Below are 19016 nucleotides of genomic sequence, written 5' to 3'. Positions count from 1 at the left end.
TTTGAGTTCTATAAGGGGGTTAAACCAGAAAGCGGCGGGGGCAGGGAACAGTCAATCTTTGTGTGTGCACACTGCGTGTGCAGAGAGAAGACTCCTCAGGAGACCAGGACCTGGCTGAGTGTGTGCGGGGATGAAGCGGGTGGAGGGGAACTGGGGCTGGGGAGGAGGTACGCGCCGCGGAGGTGTCCCCCGCCCCCCACGATCCTTCTCGCCAACCCCCCGCCCCTCCTCCCTCCGTGACGCCGCTTCCCGTCTCCAGGCAACGTGGGGGCCAAACAACACGGCCGGGAGGCGCCGCTGCCTGCCGGGCCCTCTCTTCTGGGACCCTGGATTTTCGGACACTGAGCGCCATGGCCCTGCCTCTGCTGCCGGGCAACAGCTTCAACCGCAACGTGAGTAGGAAGGGCGTCCGAGGTCACAGCTCCCGGCTGGAGTCTGGGGTCCAGGCAGGGTCGTGGCGTGGCCACCTCCGCAGACTCTCCTGGAGGCCCCATGCTGCTGCCCTGGGTTGGTGGCAACTTGGACCAAACTTTATAGGCTGCTTCTCCCATCTCTCCAGCTGCATCTGAATGTTTTTCCTAATTTAGAAATATATAGAGAGAGTCCTTATAGGTGGCAGGACCCTCAAAGGTAACAAATAATAGTGACGATAACCATTGGGGGTTTAATGTGTGCCAGGCGCTGTGCTTTAATCACCTTATGCAGCATCCAGTGTCCCAACAGCCCTTTGAATTAGGTAGTTTTTATTCCCAGTTACTATTGAGGAAACTGAGGCACAGAACCACACAGTCTCAGTGGTGAAGCTGGGTTTCTTTCAAGCAACCTTGTCTCCACAGCTCAGGAGCCTAATCATTATCCCCAGTATCCTGTGTGAAAAAAGATACCGTTTCAATTATCAAATTGAAGAAATCTGGCACTTATCAAGAGGGGTAGGTGGCAGATAAGAGTTCTATCAGCCTGTAAAGTTTACTCCCAAACTTTATAGAGACAGGCACCCAAACTTGGAGGGATTTTTTTTTTCTCTATTTATAATTGGGAGGGGTTCATTTCTTTTTTTTTTTTTGAGACGGAGTCTCGCTCTGTCGCCCAGGCTGGAGTGCAGTGACCCGATCTCGGCTCACTGCAACCTCCACCTCCCAGGTTCAAGCGATTCTCCTGCCTCAGCCTCCCGAGTAGCTGGGATTACAGGCGCCCGCCACCACACCGGCTAATTTTTGTATTTTTAGTAAAGATGGGGTTTCACCATGTTGGCCAGGCTGGCCTCGGACTCCTGACCTCAAGTGATCTGCCCGCCTCGGTCTCCCAAAGTGCTGGGATTACAGGCTGAGCCACTGCGCCTGTCCTGGAGGGGTTCATTTCAAAAGAAGATGAACGTACAGAACAAAGCAACACAACACAAAAAACCCTGAGCATGAAAGAACTTTTGCCAATAAATAGCACCTCATTTAAACGACAGCAGGAAAATGATTCAGGCTTTTGTTTATACTGGTTACTACCCTTCACTTGGGTCAGCCATCTGTGTCTGCAGGAGAAGCTAATTCCCAATTAGATGGGAGGGAATTAGATGGAGCCACTCAAGGCAATTGTGTAAACCTTTGATAACTTTAGAAAGCAGGCAGCAGATTGAAGTATTTGGCTTTATGGTTTCCAAACACTGTCTGTATCTAAGTTGTTGGCCCTGAAGTACAAGTTTTTTCTTTGTAGCTTCACGCCATTGAATTCTGACCCCTACACGTCTGGTCAGTCCAACTTTGAACACTGATTTGTGCATTTCTTGGTTGATGGGCAGAGGCTGGCCTTCCAGCATAGCATTGCCCTTTGGTAAGTTTAAGCCAGTCACGCAAACAAGAAAGGCCCCTGAGAGACGGGACATGAAAACAGATTCCAGAAGTAAAGAAGCATGCTGTGTAAAAGTAATTTTAATAAAAAATGAAAGTAAAGCCTACAGCTTTTTGCCCAGCAACACTCTGATTACCAGTGCCTGCCTCCTGCAGAAGTATCATAGCTCTCACGTGCAGTGATTAAGGATGGGAAGGAAAAACAGTGGATGGATGAAATATTAATAAATCTGCAAGGTTCTGCGTATATTTTTGCTTTTTAAAAAACTTTAAGATCATGAAGTACAACACATATACAGAAAGATGCACAATGGATGATCACAAAATGAATATCAAGAAATTAAATATGGGGGCTGGGCGCAGTGGCTCACGCCTGTAATCCCAGCACTTTGGGAAGCAGAGATGGGAGGATCCCTTGAGCCCAGGAGTTCGAGACCAGCCTGGGCAATATAGTAAGACCTCATCTCTACAAAAGATTGAAAAAATTAGCCAAGCGTGGTGGCACATGCCTGTAGTCCCAGCTACTCAGGAGGCTGAGGTGGGAGAATCATTTGAGCCTGGGAGGTCGAGGCTGCAGTGAGCCATGATTGCATTACTGCACTCCAGCCTGGGCAACAGAGCCAGACCCTGTCTCAAAAAAATAAATAAAATAAAATATGACCTGTTCTCCAAAAATACCACCCTTGACTGGGGTTGCCAGATTTAGCGAATAAAAATACATATCTCAAATACTGCATGGAACCTGTTTATGGGAAAGGATTATTTATTGTTTACCAAATTTAACTGAGAATCTTGTATTTTATGTGACAACTCTACCTATGAACCTTTCTGTTCATTACCCCATCTCTACTCTCCAGATATAACCACTGTTCTGGCTCCTATCACTATAATTAGGTTTTGCTTGCCTTTGAACCTTTTATCAATGGAAATGTTTGGTGTTTATTCTTTTGTGACTGGCTTTTTTAGCTCAACAGTATGTTCGTTAGATTTGTCCATGTGGCTGTCTATAGAGGTAGTTTGTACATTTTTATTACTCTGTAGTATTGCATTGTATGTTTTTCACATCATTTATATATACATTTTACTCTTGATAAATATTTGGCTTGTTTGGGGTTGTTAAGAATAGTTTTACTGTGACTATTTTTGTTCATGTTTTTTGGTAGGATTGCTAGATCATACAGTATTCGTATGTTCAGCTGTAGTAGATGCTGTCAAAGTGATTATACTACTTAAATTCCCAACAGCATTTTATGTTCCTGTTGCTCCACATTCTTTCTAACACTTGGTATTGTTAGTCTTTTAAATTTTAGATATTTTGGTTGGTGGGTATAGCAACTCTTTGTAGTTATAATCTGTACTTCCTGATTCCTAATGAAATTGAGCATGTTTTACACGTTTGTTGGTCATTTGTATGACCATTTATTGGTCACTGCTTTTTTTTTTAGACGGAGTCTTGCTCTGTTGCCCAGGCTGGAGTGCAGTGGTGCAATCTCGGCTCACTGCAACCTCCGCCTTCTGGCTTCAAGCGATTCTCCTGCCTCAGCCTCCCGAGTAGCTGGAATTACAGGCATGCGCCATCATGCCTGGCTAATTTTTTTTTTTTTAATTTTTAGTAGAGACGGGGTTTCACCATGTTGGCCAGGCTGGTCTTGAACTCCTGACTTCAGGCGATCCGCCCGCCTCAGCCTCCCAAAGTGCTGGGATTACAGGCGTGAGCCACCGTGCCTGGCTTTATTTGTATGACCATTTATTGGTCACTACTTTTTTGTGTAGTACTTACTTATCTCTTGTCTAATGTTTACTGGGTTGTCTGCCTATTTCTTAGTGATTTGTAGAAGTTCTATATAAATTTTGGGTATCTTCTTGTCTGTGATTGGCCTTTTCCTTCTCTTAATGATGTTTTTGATGAATAATTTTTGGAAAAGATCACTCTTTCTCCATGTCTCTGCAGAGCCACTTTGTCAAAAATCAAGCATCCAGCTACGTGTGGGTCTATTTCTAGACTCATGAATATTTAAAACATTTATTTACTTTATGCCTGAGAACAATGGGAGTGTGTGCGTGCATGTGTGTATGTGCGTGTGTACTAGAGAATGACAGTACCTTGGACTCATTCAACAAATCAGTATTTATTTATTGAGTATCCTAGTATATGCCAAAATTAGGTGACTACATTTAAAAAATTGTTACACTAGCCTTGGTACTAAATGTACTGTGTGTTGCCCACAAATTAATATTTTAAAAACTTGTACTTAGTTAAAAGATTGGATGTTCTCTGGCATAGAATGGTTAGAAAGTCAGTAAAGCCATATCTGGCCTTTTAGTCTTGCCCTTCCCCCCTCCCCTGCTTGCTGAATTAAATTACCAAGTGAAAAACCTTGGCCTCCTGTAGATAGCATAATTACTTGGCTGTTTGGATTTAAAATTATAACACAGCTAACTTTTATTGCTTTTCCATAGAATTGAAAAGGAACTTATGTGCCCCTTACTTAGCTGCCAGTGGTCAGTCAAAAGCAATAGATTGATTTCTGTCCACGGCTAGGTGATACGCAACCTGTATTTCTCTCTCTCAAATACAAGAAGTATGGTGCCTTCTAAAATATGAACATTTGTACCTCTGATGACATTACAATTATTTTGATATGAGTTGAAAACCTTAGGGAAATATCACAACTAAATTCTAGATACACTGTATCTTTTTTCCAACAATTTCCATGCTGAACTTGTATTGAGCAAGAGAATCTTGGGCATATTATCAAAATTGAAAATATTAAAATTAAAAGGGACATTTCCAGCCAAAGCCAAAAATCCTTTCTGCAGTATTTTGGACAGATGGTTGTGTGGCCCATCCTGATCCTGAGTGTCTCTAATGAATGATGAAGAGCTCACTCTTTCTGCTTTTTTTTTTTGGAGATGGAGTCTCGCTCTGTCACCCAGGCTGGAGCGCAATGGCGCCATCTCGGCTCACTGCAACCTCTGCCTCCCAGGTTCAATCGATTCTCCTGCCTCAGCCTCCTGAGTAGCTGGGATTACAGGTGTGTGCCACCACGCCTGGCTAATTTTTGTATTTTGAGTAGAATTGGGGTTTTACCATGTTGATCAGGCTGGTCTCGAACTCCTGACCTCAGTTGATCCACCCGCCTCAGCCTCCCAAAGTGCTGGGATTACAGGCGTGAGCCACCGCGCCTGGCCGCTCTTTCTGCTTTTAATGAAGCTACCTTGCCACCATCTTAGGAGGGTTTGCTGTAAATAGCCCATCATCTAATTTGTAGTGAAGCAAAGTCCTCCTTAAGAAAAAAGAAAACATATTTGAATTTGCAGCAATAAAAAAAAAAGGAATTTAATGAATCATGACCAGCTTTTTTTTTTTTTGAAAAGGAAAAAAGAAAAAGAAGAGAGTGGGGTAGAATGAAGAATTAGAGTGTATTATGCTTGAGAGGAGTTAAGTGTTGCACGGACCTTTTTGTCCTTCCTGTGTGTGCTTGTGTATGTATGTGAACTGGCCTGCACTAAAATATGCCTATTACTGTGGTTGTGCAATCAGTGTTTGAAAAACACTCATTCGAGCCATCTCCATCTTTTTTTTTTTGCGATAGGGTCTTGCTCTTTCTCCCAGGCTGGGGTGCAGTGGCAGGATCACAGCTCACAGTTCACTGCACGCAGCCTCAACCTCTCGGGCTCAAGACATCCTCCCACCTCTGTTGCCACAGTAGCTAGGACTACAGACATGCACCACCATACCCAGCTAATTTTTTAAATTATTATTTGTAGAGATGCGGTCTCACTGTATTGTCCAGACTGGGCAATTCTTATTTAAATTTAGATCTTCAGCTTCTTTCAAGGTCAGATCTCATCTCTCACCCTTCAAAGAGCCTTGTCAGCCTTTCTTAATGTATATTTTTAAATTTTTTGAGGTAAATTTCATGTAACATGAAATTAACCACTAACTATTTAAAAGTATACAATTCAGTGGTACTTGGTACATTCACACTGTTGTGCAACAACTAACACCTCTAACTAGTTTCAGAACATTTTCATCACCTCAAATCTCAATCTTTTCACCCTGGAGGAGTCTTTGAAATGATTTTGAGGTCTTAGAGAACTCCTGCATAAAAACTATATCTATAGCCCATGGTACATTAGCACAATCTGTGATAATAAATATGTAATTACATAAAAAGATGTTCAACATTATAGCTATTAGGGAAATAAGAATTAAAATCAAGATGAGATACCACTGTATACCTATTAAAATGGCTAAAATCCAAAACACAATACCAATTGCTCACATGGATTTGAAATAACAGGAATTCTCACTCATTGCTGGTGGGAATGCGAAATGGTAATTTCTTATAAAGTTAAACACACACCTGCCATATGGCCAGTTCCGAATTTATGTGAAATAAATAAATTCCCATAAATAATTCTGGGTTAAACTCAAAATAAGCACATATCAATTTCATTTTCAACTGGAATGAGAATATTGTAGCTATAATAATCCAATAATAATTGTCTTTTTAAAGTAAAAAATGGTAGTTTTCTGTGGATCTCTTGATTTCAGCCAACTTATTTACCTACTCTTTCCCTTTCTCACAAAGGGTTATCAACCCTAAAGCAAGTGGGAATGTAGAAGAGGAAACTTCAGGTTGTTTTATGGTAAAATTTTCTACTTGATTTATTTTTCCTTTTTACCTTATCCAAGTAGGCCTAAAAGTTCTCTATAGTTTCTATTATAGAGGGTGCTATTGAGGAATGATATATGGTATATGGTATGAACAAAAGTAGTTTTCTCCCCTATTAAAAACTGAAAAGGACTTTTTACCAGCTTTTTTGAGGGAAAAAAAACCCAAAACAGATAGTTAAACTTAGCTTACCTTTCTTTCCTTTCCATACATTCAAAAAACTTTTCAGTCAGCATAATATAAACATGTTAAATAATTCAAGTTATTTCTGTTTATATCTAAGATGGAATTTACTTTTTCAAAAAGTAGGCTAAGATGATTTAATTTAAATAAAGGTTGTAAACTCGTAATTAATGCTGTTTTCAACATCAAAATGTATTGACAATGTTACATAATAAAGCTACTAAAACTATATGACAAAGCATTATGAGTAAAAATATAACCTAAGATATAATTTTATACAAGACTTAAAAATTAGGTTCTTTTACTGACTGACATGATTGGGCTTAAATATAGGCAGTTACAAAATTATAATCTTGATTTCTTTATAGACCTGTATGTACATAACAGTCTTATTTTTTAAAAGCTAAAAATAAATAATAAAATTTACCTCTCCACTCTGAAATCTGTGTTTATATTTTGCCACATAAATAATTCCGGGTCAAGCTTGAAATAAGCACACATCAATTTCATTTTCAACTGGAATGAGAAGATTTCTGGCCTTTTCAATACTTGTTAAACAAGGAAAGCTTTGCTTACATGTATAAGAAGTTGAAAATTATAGCAAAATGGTCATTGCTCTCCTATGAATGGCAGGATGCTTACTTTTATGTAAATTTTGAACTGGCCATATGGTAGGTGTGTGTTTATCTTGATAAGAAATTACCATTTTGCATTCCCACCAGCAATGATTGAGAATTTCTGTTATTCCAAATCCTTGTAAGCAATTGGTATTGCCAGTGTTTTGGATTTTAGCCATTTTAATAGGTGTATAGTGGTATCTCCTCTTTTCTCTCTCTCTCTTTTTTTTTTTTGAGACTGAGTCTCACTCTGTCGCCCAGGGGAGTGTAGTGGCGCGATCTTGGCTCACTGCAACCCTCTGCCTCCCAGTTCAAGCTATTCTTCTGCCTCAGCCTCCCGAGTAGCTGAGATTACAGGTGTGTGCCACCACGCCCGGCTAATTTTTGTATTTTGGGTAGAGACGGGGTTTCACCATGTTGGCCAGGCTGGTCTTGAACTCCTGACCTCAGGTGATCCACCCACCTCGGCCTCCCAAAGTGCTGAGATTACAGGCCTGAGCCACCACACCCGGCCTGGTATCTCCTCTTGATTTTAATTTTTATTTCCCTAATGGCTATGATGTTGAACATCTTTTTATGTGCTTATTTGCCATCCGTATATCCCCTTTGGTGAAATGTCTGTTCGTGTCTTCTACTCATATTTAATTGGGGAGTTTCCTTACTTGAATTCCTGACCTCAGGCGATCCGCCTGATGAGTTTTGAAAGTCATTTTTAATATAGTCTGGATACAAGTTGGGTGCAAGTCTATTATTGAATGTATGGTCTGTAAATATTTTGTTCCAGTCTATGGCTTGAATTTTCATTCTCTTAAAGCAAGGCTAAAAAATATGTACATATATTTAAGGATAAAATATAACATGAGTTCAAAAACTATTGTTTTCAATGCAAATTAAGGATTATAGGGTTTTTACTTCTTTGATTTTATATATTTACATGTAATCTTGCTTCATAAGTACATTAGCTGAATTACTTATCCTAACATAAATAAAAATATACAACCATATAATAATTTTTAATTAATAATAACATTATTAACAATTTGAGTTTTGAAAATAGTTTAAGATTTCTTTATAGCTATTTCTGTTGTGAGAGTATATCCCACCAGGAATGTATAGTCAAATTACTGGGTTTTAGTTTCATTTAAATCATTGCTGTCGGTATGGTTAAGTCACCAACTCAGTATCTAGTTAGGTTCATTTGTTTCATTGTGCTTTTGTTTCTGAACTTAAAAAAAGGCATTTGTATGGTCTCAAAGTCAAATTTGCAAAGTAAGTTACTTTCAGAGAGCTCTAGCTTTTATCTCTGTCTCTTCAATCTTATTCTCTCCCTCTCTCCATAATAACTTAAAGAAAAAACTTTATTTAGTTTGAGGTTATCCTCTTTCTCTTCCTCCTTCTCTTCTTTCTTTTTTTTTTAATTTTTAAAACAGCAAATTGTTAAATTTATTCACATGTTCCCCTTTTATTCAATACTTGGTAGCATAATCTACACAGTCTTTTGAACCTTCCTTTTTTCATTTTAACAGTATATCTTGGAGATCACTTGGTAGTGGTATATAGGGCTCTTCCTCATTTCTTTTTATAGTTACATAGTACTCCATTTTGTAGACTTACAATAGTTTATTCAACCATCCCCTTTTGGTGTACAGTTACATTATTTCCAGTCTTTTGTTATCCAATAATGTTGCAATAAATAGCCAAACTGTGCTTCAAAAGACACTATCAGAAAAGTGAAAAAGCAGCTGACAGTGTGGGAGGAAATATTTATAAAGCATATTATCTGATAAGGGACTATATTCAGAATATGTAAATAACTCCCAAAACTCAATAATAAAAAGACAAATAGGCCAGGTGCGGTGGCTCATGCCTGTAATCCCAGCACTTTGGGAGGCTGAGGCAGGCGGATCACCTGAGGTCAGGAGTTTGAGACCAGCCTGACTAACATGGAGAAACCTGTCTCTACTAAAAATACAAAACTAGCCGGGCGTGGTGGCGCATGCCTGTAATCCCAGCTACTCGGGAGGCTGAGACAGGAGAATCACTTGAACCTGGGAGGCAGAGGTTGTGGTGAGCCGAGATCGCACCATTGCACTCCAGCCTGGGCAACAAGAGTGCAACTTCATTTCAAAAAGCCAACAAACAAACAAAAAGGCAAATAATCCAGTTTTGGTGGTATGGGATTGCTGGGCAGACAAAACAATTGCTGTCTACTATGCTAGATCACAGGATAGTTTTGATATAAAGAATTCTGTCACTTTGTTCCCAGTAACTATTAAAATATCCTTGAAATTACATTATTTCAGATTGGGCCGCTTATTGAAGCTGCCATCCATACTTTGGAAATAACATATTCCATTGCTATTCCTAAATGTTCATTTGAATTTCAGGAATTAGAGTCTCTTTGCCTATGTAGGATTCAAACACCTAATTTTGGTCACCATGCATTCTGTACTGAACTTCGTAGCTCTGTCACCTAGGGTACATTTGACTATAAGTCACAGAATACCTGACTAACAGTGGTTTAAGCCAAATTAATTTTCTCATAAGAACTTTAGAGGTGTAGCAGTTTCAGATTTAGGCAGTGACTGATGAATGTCATAAAGAACCCAGGCTCTTTTTATCTCTGCATTCTGCCATCTTCAGAATATTGGCTTTTCTTTCTTAGGCTTGTGACCTCATAGTTGCAAAATAGTTGCCTCAGTTCCAGTCATCACAACTACATGTAACCATGTTCAAGACAAGCAGGAAGGAGAGGGAGGGGAAACAGCTCTTCTTATATGAGAAAACAAAATGTTTTCCAGGAGCCCCCCAGTAGATTCCCTCCTTCCATCTTATTTGCTAAAATTGATGCACATGGCCATCCTTTACTACAAGGAATGCTGGGAAATTATCTTGTTTTTTTTTTCACCATCTACTTTTGGAGGTGGGAAAGGGAAAAGAGGGTTCAATAGTGGCCAACAAACTTTGTCACACCAGCCACAGACAATACCTGTGAGTCTGGTATTGTCAGACTTAGTAGTATCCCTTTCATTACAATTTGTGTTTTTAAATTATACAAGTAACACATGAGTATATCAATATTGCGAAGGATACCAAGAATACTGTTCTTTGTAAACTATCTTCTTTTCCATAATGGGAAACAAGCCTAATACTCCAGTTAATCCAGCATGTTCACTGTTTGTCCTTTGGGTATATTTTGGACTTTTCCACTCAATTATTAGTTTGTTTGTCCCCTTGCCTGATAGCAGCATCCTCATGCCTCTTCCTCTTCCCATCTAGATCCTGACCTTCCCTCAAAACTTGGCTTTAATCCCCCCTCCTCATTAAAGCCTTCCCCGATCATCTCAGCAAGAACCATCTGTCTACATAAGCTTGCATGCTCATATTGCCCATTTACCGCCTTATTTCCTGCGTTGTGTTTTGTGTTCTTTATGTGTGATCGTGGCAGTCCTCAGTTGACTAAGAAACTGTGATTGGTGGCTCTTTGGGTTGCCCTTCACGTTCTCAGTGCCTTCCTTACACAAACCGGGTCCTTAATAGGTGATTGTCCATTGCTGCCTCTACCTGCAGCAACCATGGTTGAAACATAGATGGAAATAAACACAGCTTGGGGGAATCTTCTCTGGAATTAGTTTCCTGCTTATGTCTTCCGCTGCTGCTGTGGAACAAAATAGTTCTTGTTTTAGCAATAGTGAATATAAAGGATGAAGAAAGTCATTTGCTTTTGTGGCTTAAATAGGAGATAAGTCTCTCGGGATACATGGTTTATACACAGCAGCCAGGGCAATATGAAGATGTCCCTATCTAAATTGTGACACAAAGCCTCTCTGTGGCCTCTTGCACCATGCTGAGGGATAGTTTTCTCTCTCTTATTGGCATCCAGTTTGGGTTTTCCTGGAAGCAGCAGGTTTGTCTATGCATATTCATCAGTCAGGACTCCTAAGGAGACCATTCTCCCCTCAGTAGGATTCCGGCTATGCTAATGGTAAAGGGATTTCTTAGGCCATTTCCTGGGGGAGTTTATTCTGTTTCTATAGTTGCAGAAAGGGCAGAGCCAACTTCTTGCAGAGGGGGGATTCCCTAAAGCAAAGGGTATTGAGGGATGTGCATTTTTATTTCCCCCTTACCCAGGCCCCTGGGTGCTCAAATTCTACCTGGTGACTCCAGTGTGGCAAAGTGAACAGCTTGACCAGCTGAATACTGAACAAATTCTTTGCTTTCCTAATGGTATGTTTGACATCCCAAAGGAGGGAATGGTCAAAACAACTAGATTTTTTTGGGGTTGGGGGTGGGGGGAAGTTTAGGTCAATTGCATGGTTTAACTGTAATTTAGACTACCTTTTCTTCTTCACATGAATTTGGTAATTGAAACATACTGTTCTGTTAAATTCAAGCACAGATGTTTGTTTAATCACTTACAGGACTATTTCCATATCATTTCGGTTAGAGTTTAGTCATTTGTTGCTCAGCTGTGTTCAGACCTAAACTTTATAAAAGGCACGTGAGTAGAGCCTCTCCTAGTGACTAAGGAACGTGGACCTTCTCTTTCCTTTTTTTTTTAAATTGAAGTTTTTATTGAGATAATTGTAAATTGACATGTAGATTCACTTAAGAAAGAGTACAGAGAGGTCCTATTTACCCCTCACCCCATTTGCCCCAATGGTAACATTTTTCTTTTCTTTTCTTTTTGTTTGTAAGATAGGGTCTTGCTCTGTCACCCAGGCTGGAGTGCAGTGGCATGATCATAGTTCACTACAACCTCGACCTCCCTGGATTAATCGATCCTCCCACCTCAGCCCCTTGAGTAGCCGGGACCACAGGTGCACACCACCACACCTGGCTAATTTTTAAAAATTATTTTTTCTAGAGTTGGAGGGTCTTGCTATGTTGCCCAGGCTGGTCTCGAACTCTTGGACTCAAGCGATTTGTCTGCCTCGGCCCCCCGAAGTGTTGAGATTACAGGTGTGAGCTACTGTGTCCAGCTCATTTTTCAAAGCTATAGTATAATATCACAATCAGTATCTTGACATTGATATACTCCACTGATCTTATTCAGATTTCCCCAGCTTCACTTGTATTCATTTGTATGTTTGTGTGTGTGTATTTAGTCTAACCTACACATGTGGTGCAATGTATACATTTCCACCACAGTAAAGGTATAAAACAGTCTTATCACCACAGGGATTCCTCATGTTGTCCTTTTATAACCACACCTCGCTCCCTTCCACCAACTCCCCCAACCCTACCATTCCTAACCCCTGGCAACAACGAATCTGTTTTCCATTTCTAAAATTTTGCTATTTCAAAATGTTACATAAATGGAGTCATAAAGTATGTACCTTTTGGAATTTGTTTTTTCCACTTGGTATAAGTCCCTGGGCATTTATCCAGGTGGTTGCGTATATCAACTGTTCATTCATTTTTACTACTGAGTAGTAGTTCATGTATGTATCACAATTTCTTTACATTTGCCTTTGGAAGGACATTGGGGCTATTTCTAGTTTTTAGCTATTATGAATAAAGCTGCTGTGAACATGTATGTACAGGTTTTTGTGTGAGCATACATTTTCATTTCTCTAGGATAAGAGCCCAAGAGTGTAATTGCGTGTTATTTGATACTTACATGTTTAATTTTATAAAAAGACAATCAAACTATTTTTGAGAGCAAATTACCATTTTAGATTCCCAACAATATATGAGTGATCTAGTTTCTTTGCACCCTGGTCCGCATTTAGTGTTATCACTATTTTTATTTTAGCTGTCTGAGAGGTGTGTAGTGATATCTCATGGTGGGTTTAATTGGCATTTCTCTGATGGTTAATTAATTGAATATCTTTTCATGTGCTTATTTGTCATCTGTATATCCAGCTAAGTGAAATGTCTGTTTATGTCTTTGGCTCATTTCTAATTGGATTGTTTTTTACTAAGATTTATTTATTTATTTATTTGGAGACAGAGTCTCACTGTGTTGCCCAGGCTAGAGTACAGTGGCATGATCTTGGCTCACTGCAATCTCTGCCTCCCAGGTTCAAGTGACTCTCGTGCCTCAGCCTCCCAAGTAGTTGGGATTACAGGCATGAGCCACCGTGCCCAGCCTTGTTTTTTTTACTGTTAACTTTTGAGAATTCTTTATGCATTCTGAATACTAGTCCTTTGAGATGTGGTTTGCACATATTTCCTCCCAGTATGTGGCTTATCTTTTCATCCTGTTAACAGTATCTTTTGTAGAGCCAAAGTGTCTCATTTTGTTAAGGTCTAATTTATCGGTTTTTTTCTTTTATGAGTTGTGCTTTTGGTGTCAAGTCTAAGGACTCACTGCCTAGCCCTACATCATGAAGATTGTCTCCTGTGATGGTTTATTTTGAGATGGAGTTTTACTTTGTTGCCCAGGCTGGAGTGCAGTGGCACAATCTCGGCTCACTGCAGACTCAACCTCCCAGGTTCAAGCAGTCCTCCTGCCTCAGCCCCCCAATAGCTGGGACAACAGGTGTGCACCACCGTACCAGGCTCATTTTTTTTTTTTTTTTTTTTTTGTAGAGACAGGGTTTTACCATGTTGCCCAGGCTTGTCTCAAACTCTTGAACTCAAGAGATGCACCTGCCTCAGCCTCCCACAGTGCTAAGATTACAGGTGTGAGCCACTGTGCCTGGCCTCCTATGTTGTTGTTTTTTTCTAAAGGATTTATAGTTTTACATTTTATATTTAATGTGATCTGCCGGGCATGGTGGCTCATGCCTATAATCCCAGCACTTTGGGAGGCTGAGGTGGGAGGATTGCTTGAGGCCAGGAGTTCAGGACCAGCCTGGGCAACATAAGGGGACTTTGACTCTACAAAAATAATAATACAAAAAAGCCCGGTGTGGTGGGGTGCAGCTGTGGTCCCAACTGCTTGGGAGGCTGAAGTGGGAGGATGGCTTGAGCCTGAGAGATGGAGGCTGCAGTAAGCTGTGGTCACACTACTGTACTGTATCCTGGGGGACAGTGTTTGACCCTGTATCAAAAAAAAAAAAATTCTGTGATCCATTTTAAGTTAATTTTTATTTAAGGTGTGAGATTTAGGTCATGATGAACTTTTTTGTCCTATAGATGCCCAGTTGCTCAAGCACCATCTGTTGTAAAGGATATCCTTCCATTGAATTGCTTTTGAATCTTTTACAAAACCATTTGAGCATATTCGTGTGGGTTGTCTTTTGAGTTGTCTGTTCTGTTCCATTGGTCGCTGTGTCTATCCGTCTGCCATTGCCACACAGTTTTTATTACTGTATCTGTATAGTAAACCTTAATATCAGGTTCAGTTCTTCCTCCCACTTTATTTTTCTTTGTCAAGATTATTTGTCTTTTTTTTGTTTTTCCTAATATATAAAGAAAATTACTCTTTAGGTCAGTTAATAATCTTATTCTGCTAAAAAAATTAAAAGATAGCTTTTAGAGACTGCATGCGTTAGTTTGTAATGCTTTCTCCTGAAAGTAATGGAATACCTGACTAATAGAGGCTTAAAGAAGCAGGGATTTATTTTTTTCACCAAGTAGGAAGCCTGGAGGTGTTACCAGCGGAGGGTGTTCAGGTTCTTGGCATCGTGAACAAAGAATTGGACAAAATGCACAAACAAAGCAAGGAAAGAATTAAGCAACAAAAGCAGAGATTTATTAAAAATGAAAGTACACTCCACAGTCCGGGAGCGGGCGGAGCATAGGGGCTCAAGAGCCCCTTTACAGAATTTTCTGGGGTTTAAATACCTTCTAGAGGCTTCCCATTGGTTACTTGACGTAGACCCTATGTAAATGAAGTAGTGGCCCAGCAATCAGTTTGACTGGTTGCGGAAAGCAACCAATCAGAGGCTGAAGTGAAGTTACAAAGGTTACACCCTATGCAAGCATCTGATTGGTTGTGGAAAGCAACCAATCAGAGGCTAAAGTGAAGTTACATAGTTACACTCCTATGCAAACTTTCTGCAATCAATCAGAGATACTTTTTGCTTTCTGCAGCCAATCAGATACTTTCAATTTTCCATCTGCCATGCAGAAAAAGGTGGGGGTCACGGGGAGATTGCAAAGGGAGTAGCCTCCCTTGGGTCTTTTTGTTACTTAGGTGTGGAAAGTTGTGGTTTTCCTTTTGATTTAGTTCTAAGAAGTCAGCGTAAATTGGCCTTAGGTTCCCTGCCTCCAGACCCTATTCTCTTGCTTCAGAGGTAGATGGCTGCTGGCACATGTATAGAGGCTCAGCATTGTCTCAGCCAGCATTTCTGCAATCTTGCCCATTATCCCAAGATGGCTGCTGCAGCTCCAGGGATCATATATACATTTCAAGGCAAGAAGAGGTGAATGAGGGGAACGTGACCTGTATCTGTCCCTTGGCTCAAGAGAGCAAAAATCCTTCATAGAATTCCAAAACAGACTCCTAAAAAGAGGCTGAGGAAACAAGTGCAGTGTGTAGCTTTTTCTGGAGTTTTTAAATGGAGACTTGCAAGGGAGAAGGAATTTGGGAATGGCTGCACGAATCAGCTACCGTGAGCCAGTGGTTTCAACTTACTTTGGGTAAAATCTTTAGAATTCTGTTTATTGATTGGTGCCTTAAGTTGAATTATTTAGAGCAAAAATATCATAGCCTTATGAGAAAGATTCTGCAGATCTCCAGATCTTATTGATTTAAATTTTGTTTTTCACTCTACTGATTTAAATACATTATTAAATGTATAAAATCAATCTTATTGTTATATTGAGTTGATGGCTAAGAATCATGAGCACAACACTTTTTCAAGTTACTTTTAGAAAGAGAGGAAATTAGCTTAAAAAATGTTTGAGATTTTCTTTGACGTGCCTTTTTAATTTGCACATTTGGGGTTAGTTTTTGAGTGATTTAGCTTAATTAATAAGTAATGATGGCTTTCATGCTCTTATAGTCTTACATTCTTAGATCCCACTATACCTGAGGCAATTTTGTTATTTTCTCTGGGAGGTTCACAGTATCTGCTGAATGACTTTTTCTTCTCCATGAAAGTACAGCAAAAAAGAAAAGAATAAATGAATTTTTAAAATAAATATTAGACGAGGGAGGAAAAAACCCCACACTATTCACAGAATAGAAGCAAATTAGTCCAGAACCTGATCAGGCAGAAATATCTAAGAATGATAGTTTTAGATAATTCTGTATCAAATTTTCTATTAACCTAAAAAAATAGAAAAATAAGTTGTGTTAATGTTTATTGAAATATTAAATATTAACTATCTCTCTTCAATTCCCAAATTTCCAGTAACTGCTGGTGACTGTAGAGGGATTTCTACAGCACTCTCTTTTAATACTTCCCCAGCTTTTAAGGGATTGAGTCTAGATCCAATTATTTGGTCTATTTCCTCCCTTCCGGGTCATGGTGGATGTTTTTGCTATTATATTTGCCAAAAGCAAAAGTAACAATTCAATCCTGATGACTTAAACAAGGAGACATCTATTACTTTTCTCAAAAAGCACAAAGAATATGAGGCCCATTGCTTAAGGGCTCAGGTGTTGGGTTTGCATTCCTGGATTCACCACTTATACTAGTTGAGTGACCTTGGGCAAATTACTAAAACTCTGTCTCTCAGAATCCCCATCTAGGCCAGACACAGTGGCTCTGCCTGTAATCCTAGCACTTTGGGAGGCCGAGGTGGGCAGATCGCTTGAGCCCAGGAGTTTGAGACCAGCCTAGTCAACATGGTGAAACCCCGTCTCTACAAAAAATACAAAAATTAGCCAGGTGTGGTGGCATGCGCCTGTAGTCTCAGCTACTCAGGAGGCTGAGGTGGGAGGATCGCTTGAGCCCAGGAGGTTGAGGCTGCAGTGAGCCATGACTGTGCCACTGCACTCCAGCCTGGGCTACAGAGTGAGGCCCTGTCTCAAAAAAAAAAAAAAAAAAAAAAAAAAAAATCAGACTCCATGCATAAAATAGGGATGATGATAGAATATACTCAGAGATTTTTCTCTCTGAGGATTAAGAGCATTAAAAAATTTGCATATCTCATTTATTAATGAGGTTAACTATATTTTAGTATGTTTATTGGCTATTTCCATTTCCTTTTTTTGCAAAGTGCCTTTTCAAATCCATTGCCCATTTTTCTGTTGGGTTTTCCTTTTCTTAGTGTACATATATATGAGATAAAGAGTGGTCTTTCCATATGTGTATACAATGTGTAATGAGCAAATCAGGCATATTTATCACCTCAAATATTTATCATTTCTTTGTGTTGAGAACATTCAAAATCCTCTCTTCTAGCTTTTTGAAAATATATAATAAATTATAGTTAAACATATTCATCCTACAGTGCTACAGAACACCAGAACTCATTTCATCTATCTACTGTAATTTTTTATCTGTTAACCAACCTCTCCCCACCTCCTCTCCTTCCCCTTTCCAGCCTTTAATACTCCCAATGATTAAGAGAATTTAATGTGGCCAGACATGGTGGCTCATGTCTGTAATCCCAGCACTTTGGGAGGCTGAGGTGAGCAGATCACTTGAGCCCAGGAGTTCAAGATCAGTCTGGGCAACATGGTGAAATCTCGTCTCTACAAAAAATACAGAAATTAGCAGGGTGTGGTAGTGTGTACCTGTAGTCCCAAGCTACTCAGGAGGCTGAGGTGGGAGGATAGCTTGAGCCCAGGAAGTCAAGGCCGCAGTGAGCTGTGATCACGCCACTGCACTCCAGCCTGGGTGACAGAGCAAGACCCTGTCTCAAAAAAAAAAAAAAGTTTAATGCTTCTAAAGTGCTTAGAACAGTGCTACAATTGTTAGCTATTGTGGCAATAGAAATGACATTTATATTGGCTTATCTAGCTCATGGCTTATCTAGTAAGCTGTCCCATTCTTACCAGGCACCTCACACTACCTGCCTTTGTCTTGTGGTTGTCAAGCATCTGGGCTTTTGAGTGTAGGCTAGAAAGAAACAAGAGACTGCTGTGCTGGAGTTCTGAAATAGAGGTTGCAAACAGATCAACAGCTCCTGATGTAGATGACTATAGCCAGCTTCTCAGTTTGGATTAACTTTACGGTTTCTGTAGCGGCCTTGATAACTAATTGATTAATCAACTTATGCATGTGATAAAATTGCCCTTCCAATTTTTAGCAACGAGGAAGGGGTGCTGATTGTAGCTTTGAATTTGATATGAAGCAGAGTCTGGATTTGGCTGCCACCTTTCCAACAGTGGTGGAATGGGAATCAGGGAGTTGAGATGCCAAGGAGCACTGACCTAGGATCTAGGAATAGTTATGTTCCTAACTTTATCATTTGCTAAGACATTTGCTAATTTCCTTAAATTGAGACTGAGTACCAATACACAGTCACTATGGCAAAGGCAGGTTGCCATGCCATCTTAAGAGGCTATAATGGCAAATCTCAAGTTTTTGTAAGTGTCTGGGGGTGTGTGTGCATGGGGGCAAACATTTTAAATAAGTGCCCTATGGACTGTTACATCATATCAAACAAATTCTCAATGCGTTAGTTTCTAAGGTATAGAATTCTGAATTGAAATTTCAAGCTAATACTCTAATAGTGCAAAAATGGAGTTTTGCATGCTATGTCAATTAGAATAACAATAGCAATTGGCATCACTGGACTTAAAAAAAAGTGTGTGTGTTTTGTTGTTTTGAGTTTGAATGTGTGAATTCACAACTCACAAGCCAAGAGTTTTGGAGAGGTTTTAGTAATAGTTCCTTTCATGCTAA

General features: G+C 39.9%; 1 protein-coding gene across 3 annotated transcripts in view; it reads left to right on the top strand.

Annotated features, from left to right (window-relative positions):
• EFHC2 (EF-hand domain containing 2) overlaps nt 267–19016 on the top strand; it is a 195801-nt gene continuing 177051 nt past the window's right edge. For all 3 annotated transcript variants that reach the window (XM_047442535.1, NM_025184.4, XM_047442536.1), the window contains exon 1: nt 267–392. In XM_047442535.1, coding sequence (XP_047298491.1) covers nt 351–392 — 42 coding nt within the window. In that variant the 5' untranslated portion in view covers nt 267–350. The remainder of the gene's footprint in view (nt 393–19016) is intronic.

Source organism: Homo sapiens, chromosome X (assembly GCF_000001405.40).
Source record: "Homo sapiens chromosome X, GRCh38.p14 Primary Assembly".
In the NCBI taxonomy this organism is placed as follows: Eukaryota; Metazoa; Chordata; class Mammalia; order Primates; family Hominidae; genus Homo; species Homo sapiens.
Note: the sequence above shows the minus strand (reverse complement) of the source record. Positions and strands in the feature narration are given on the sequence as shown.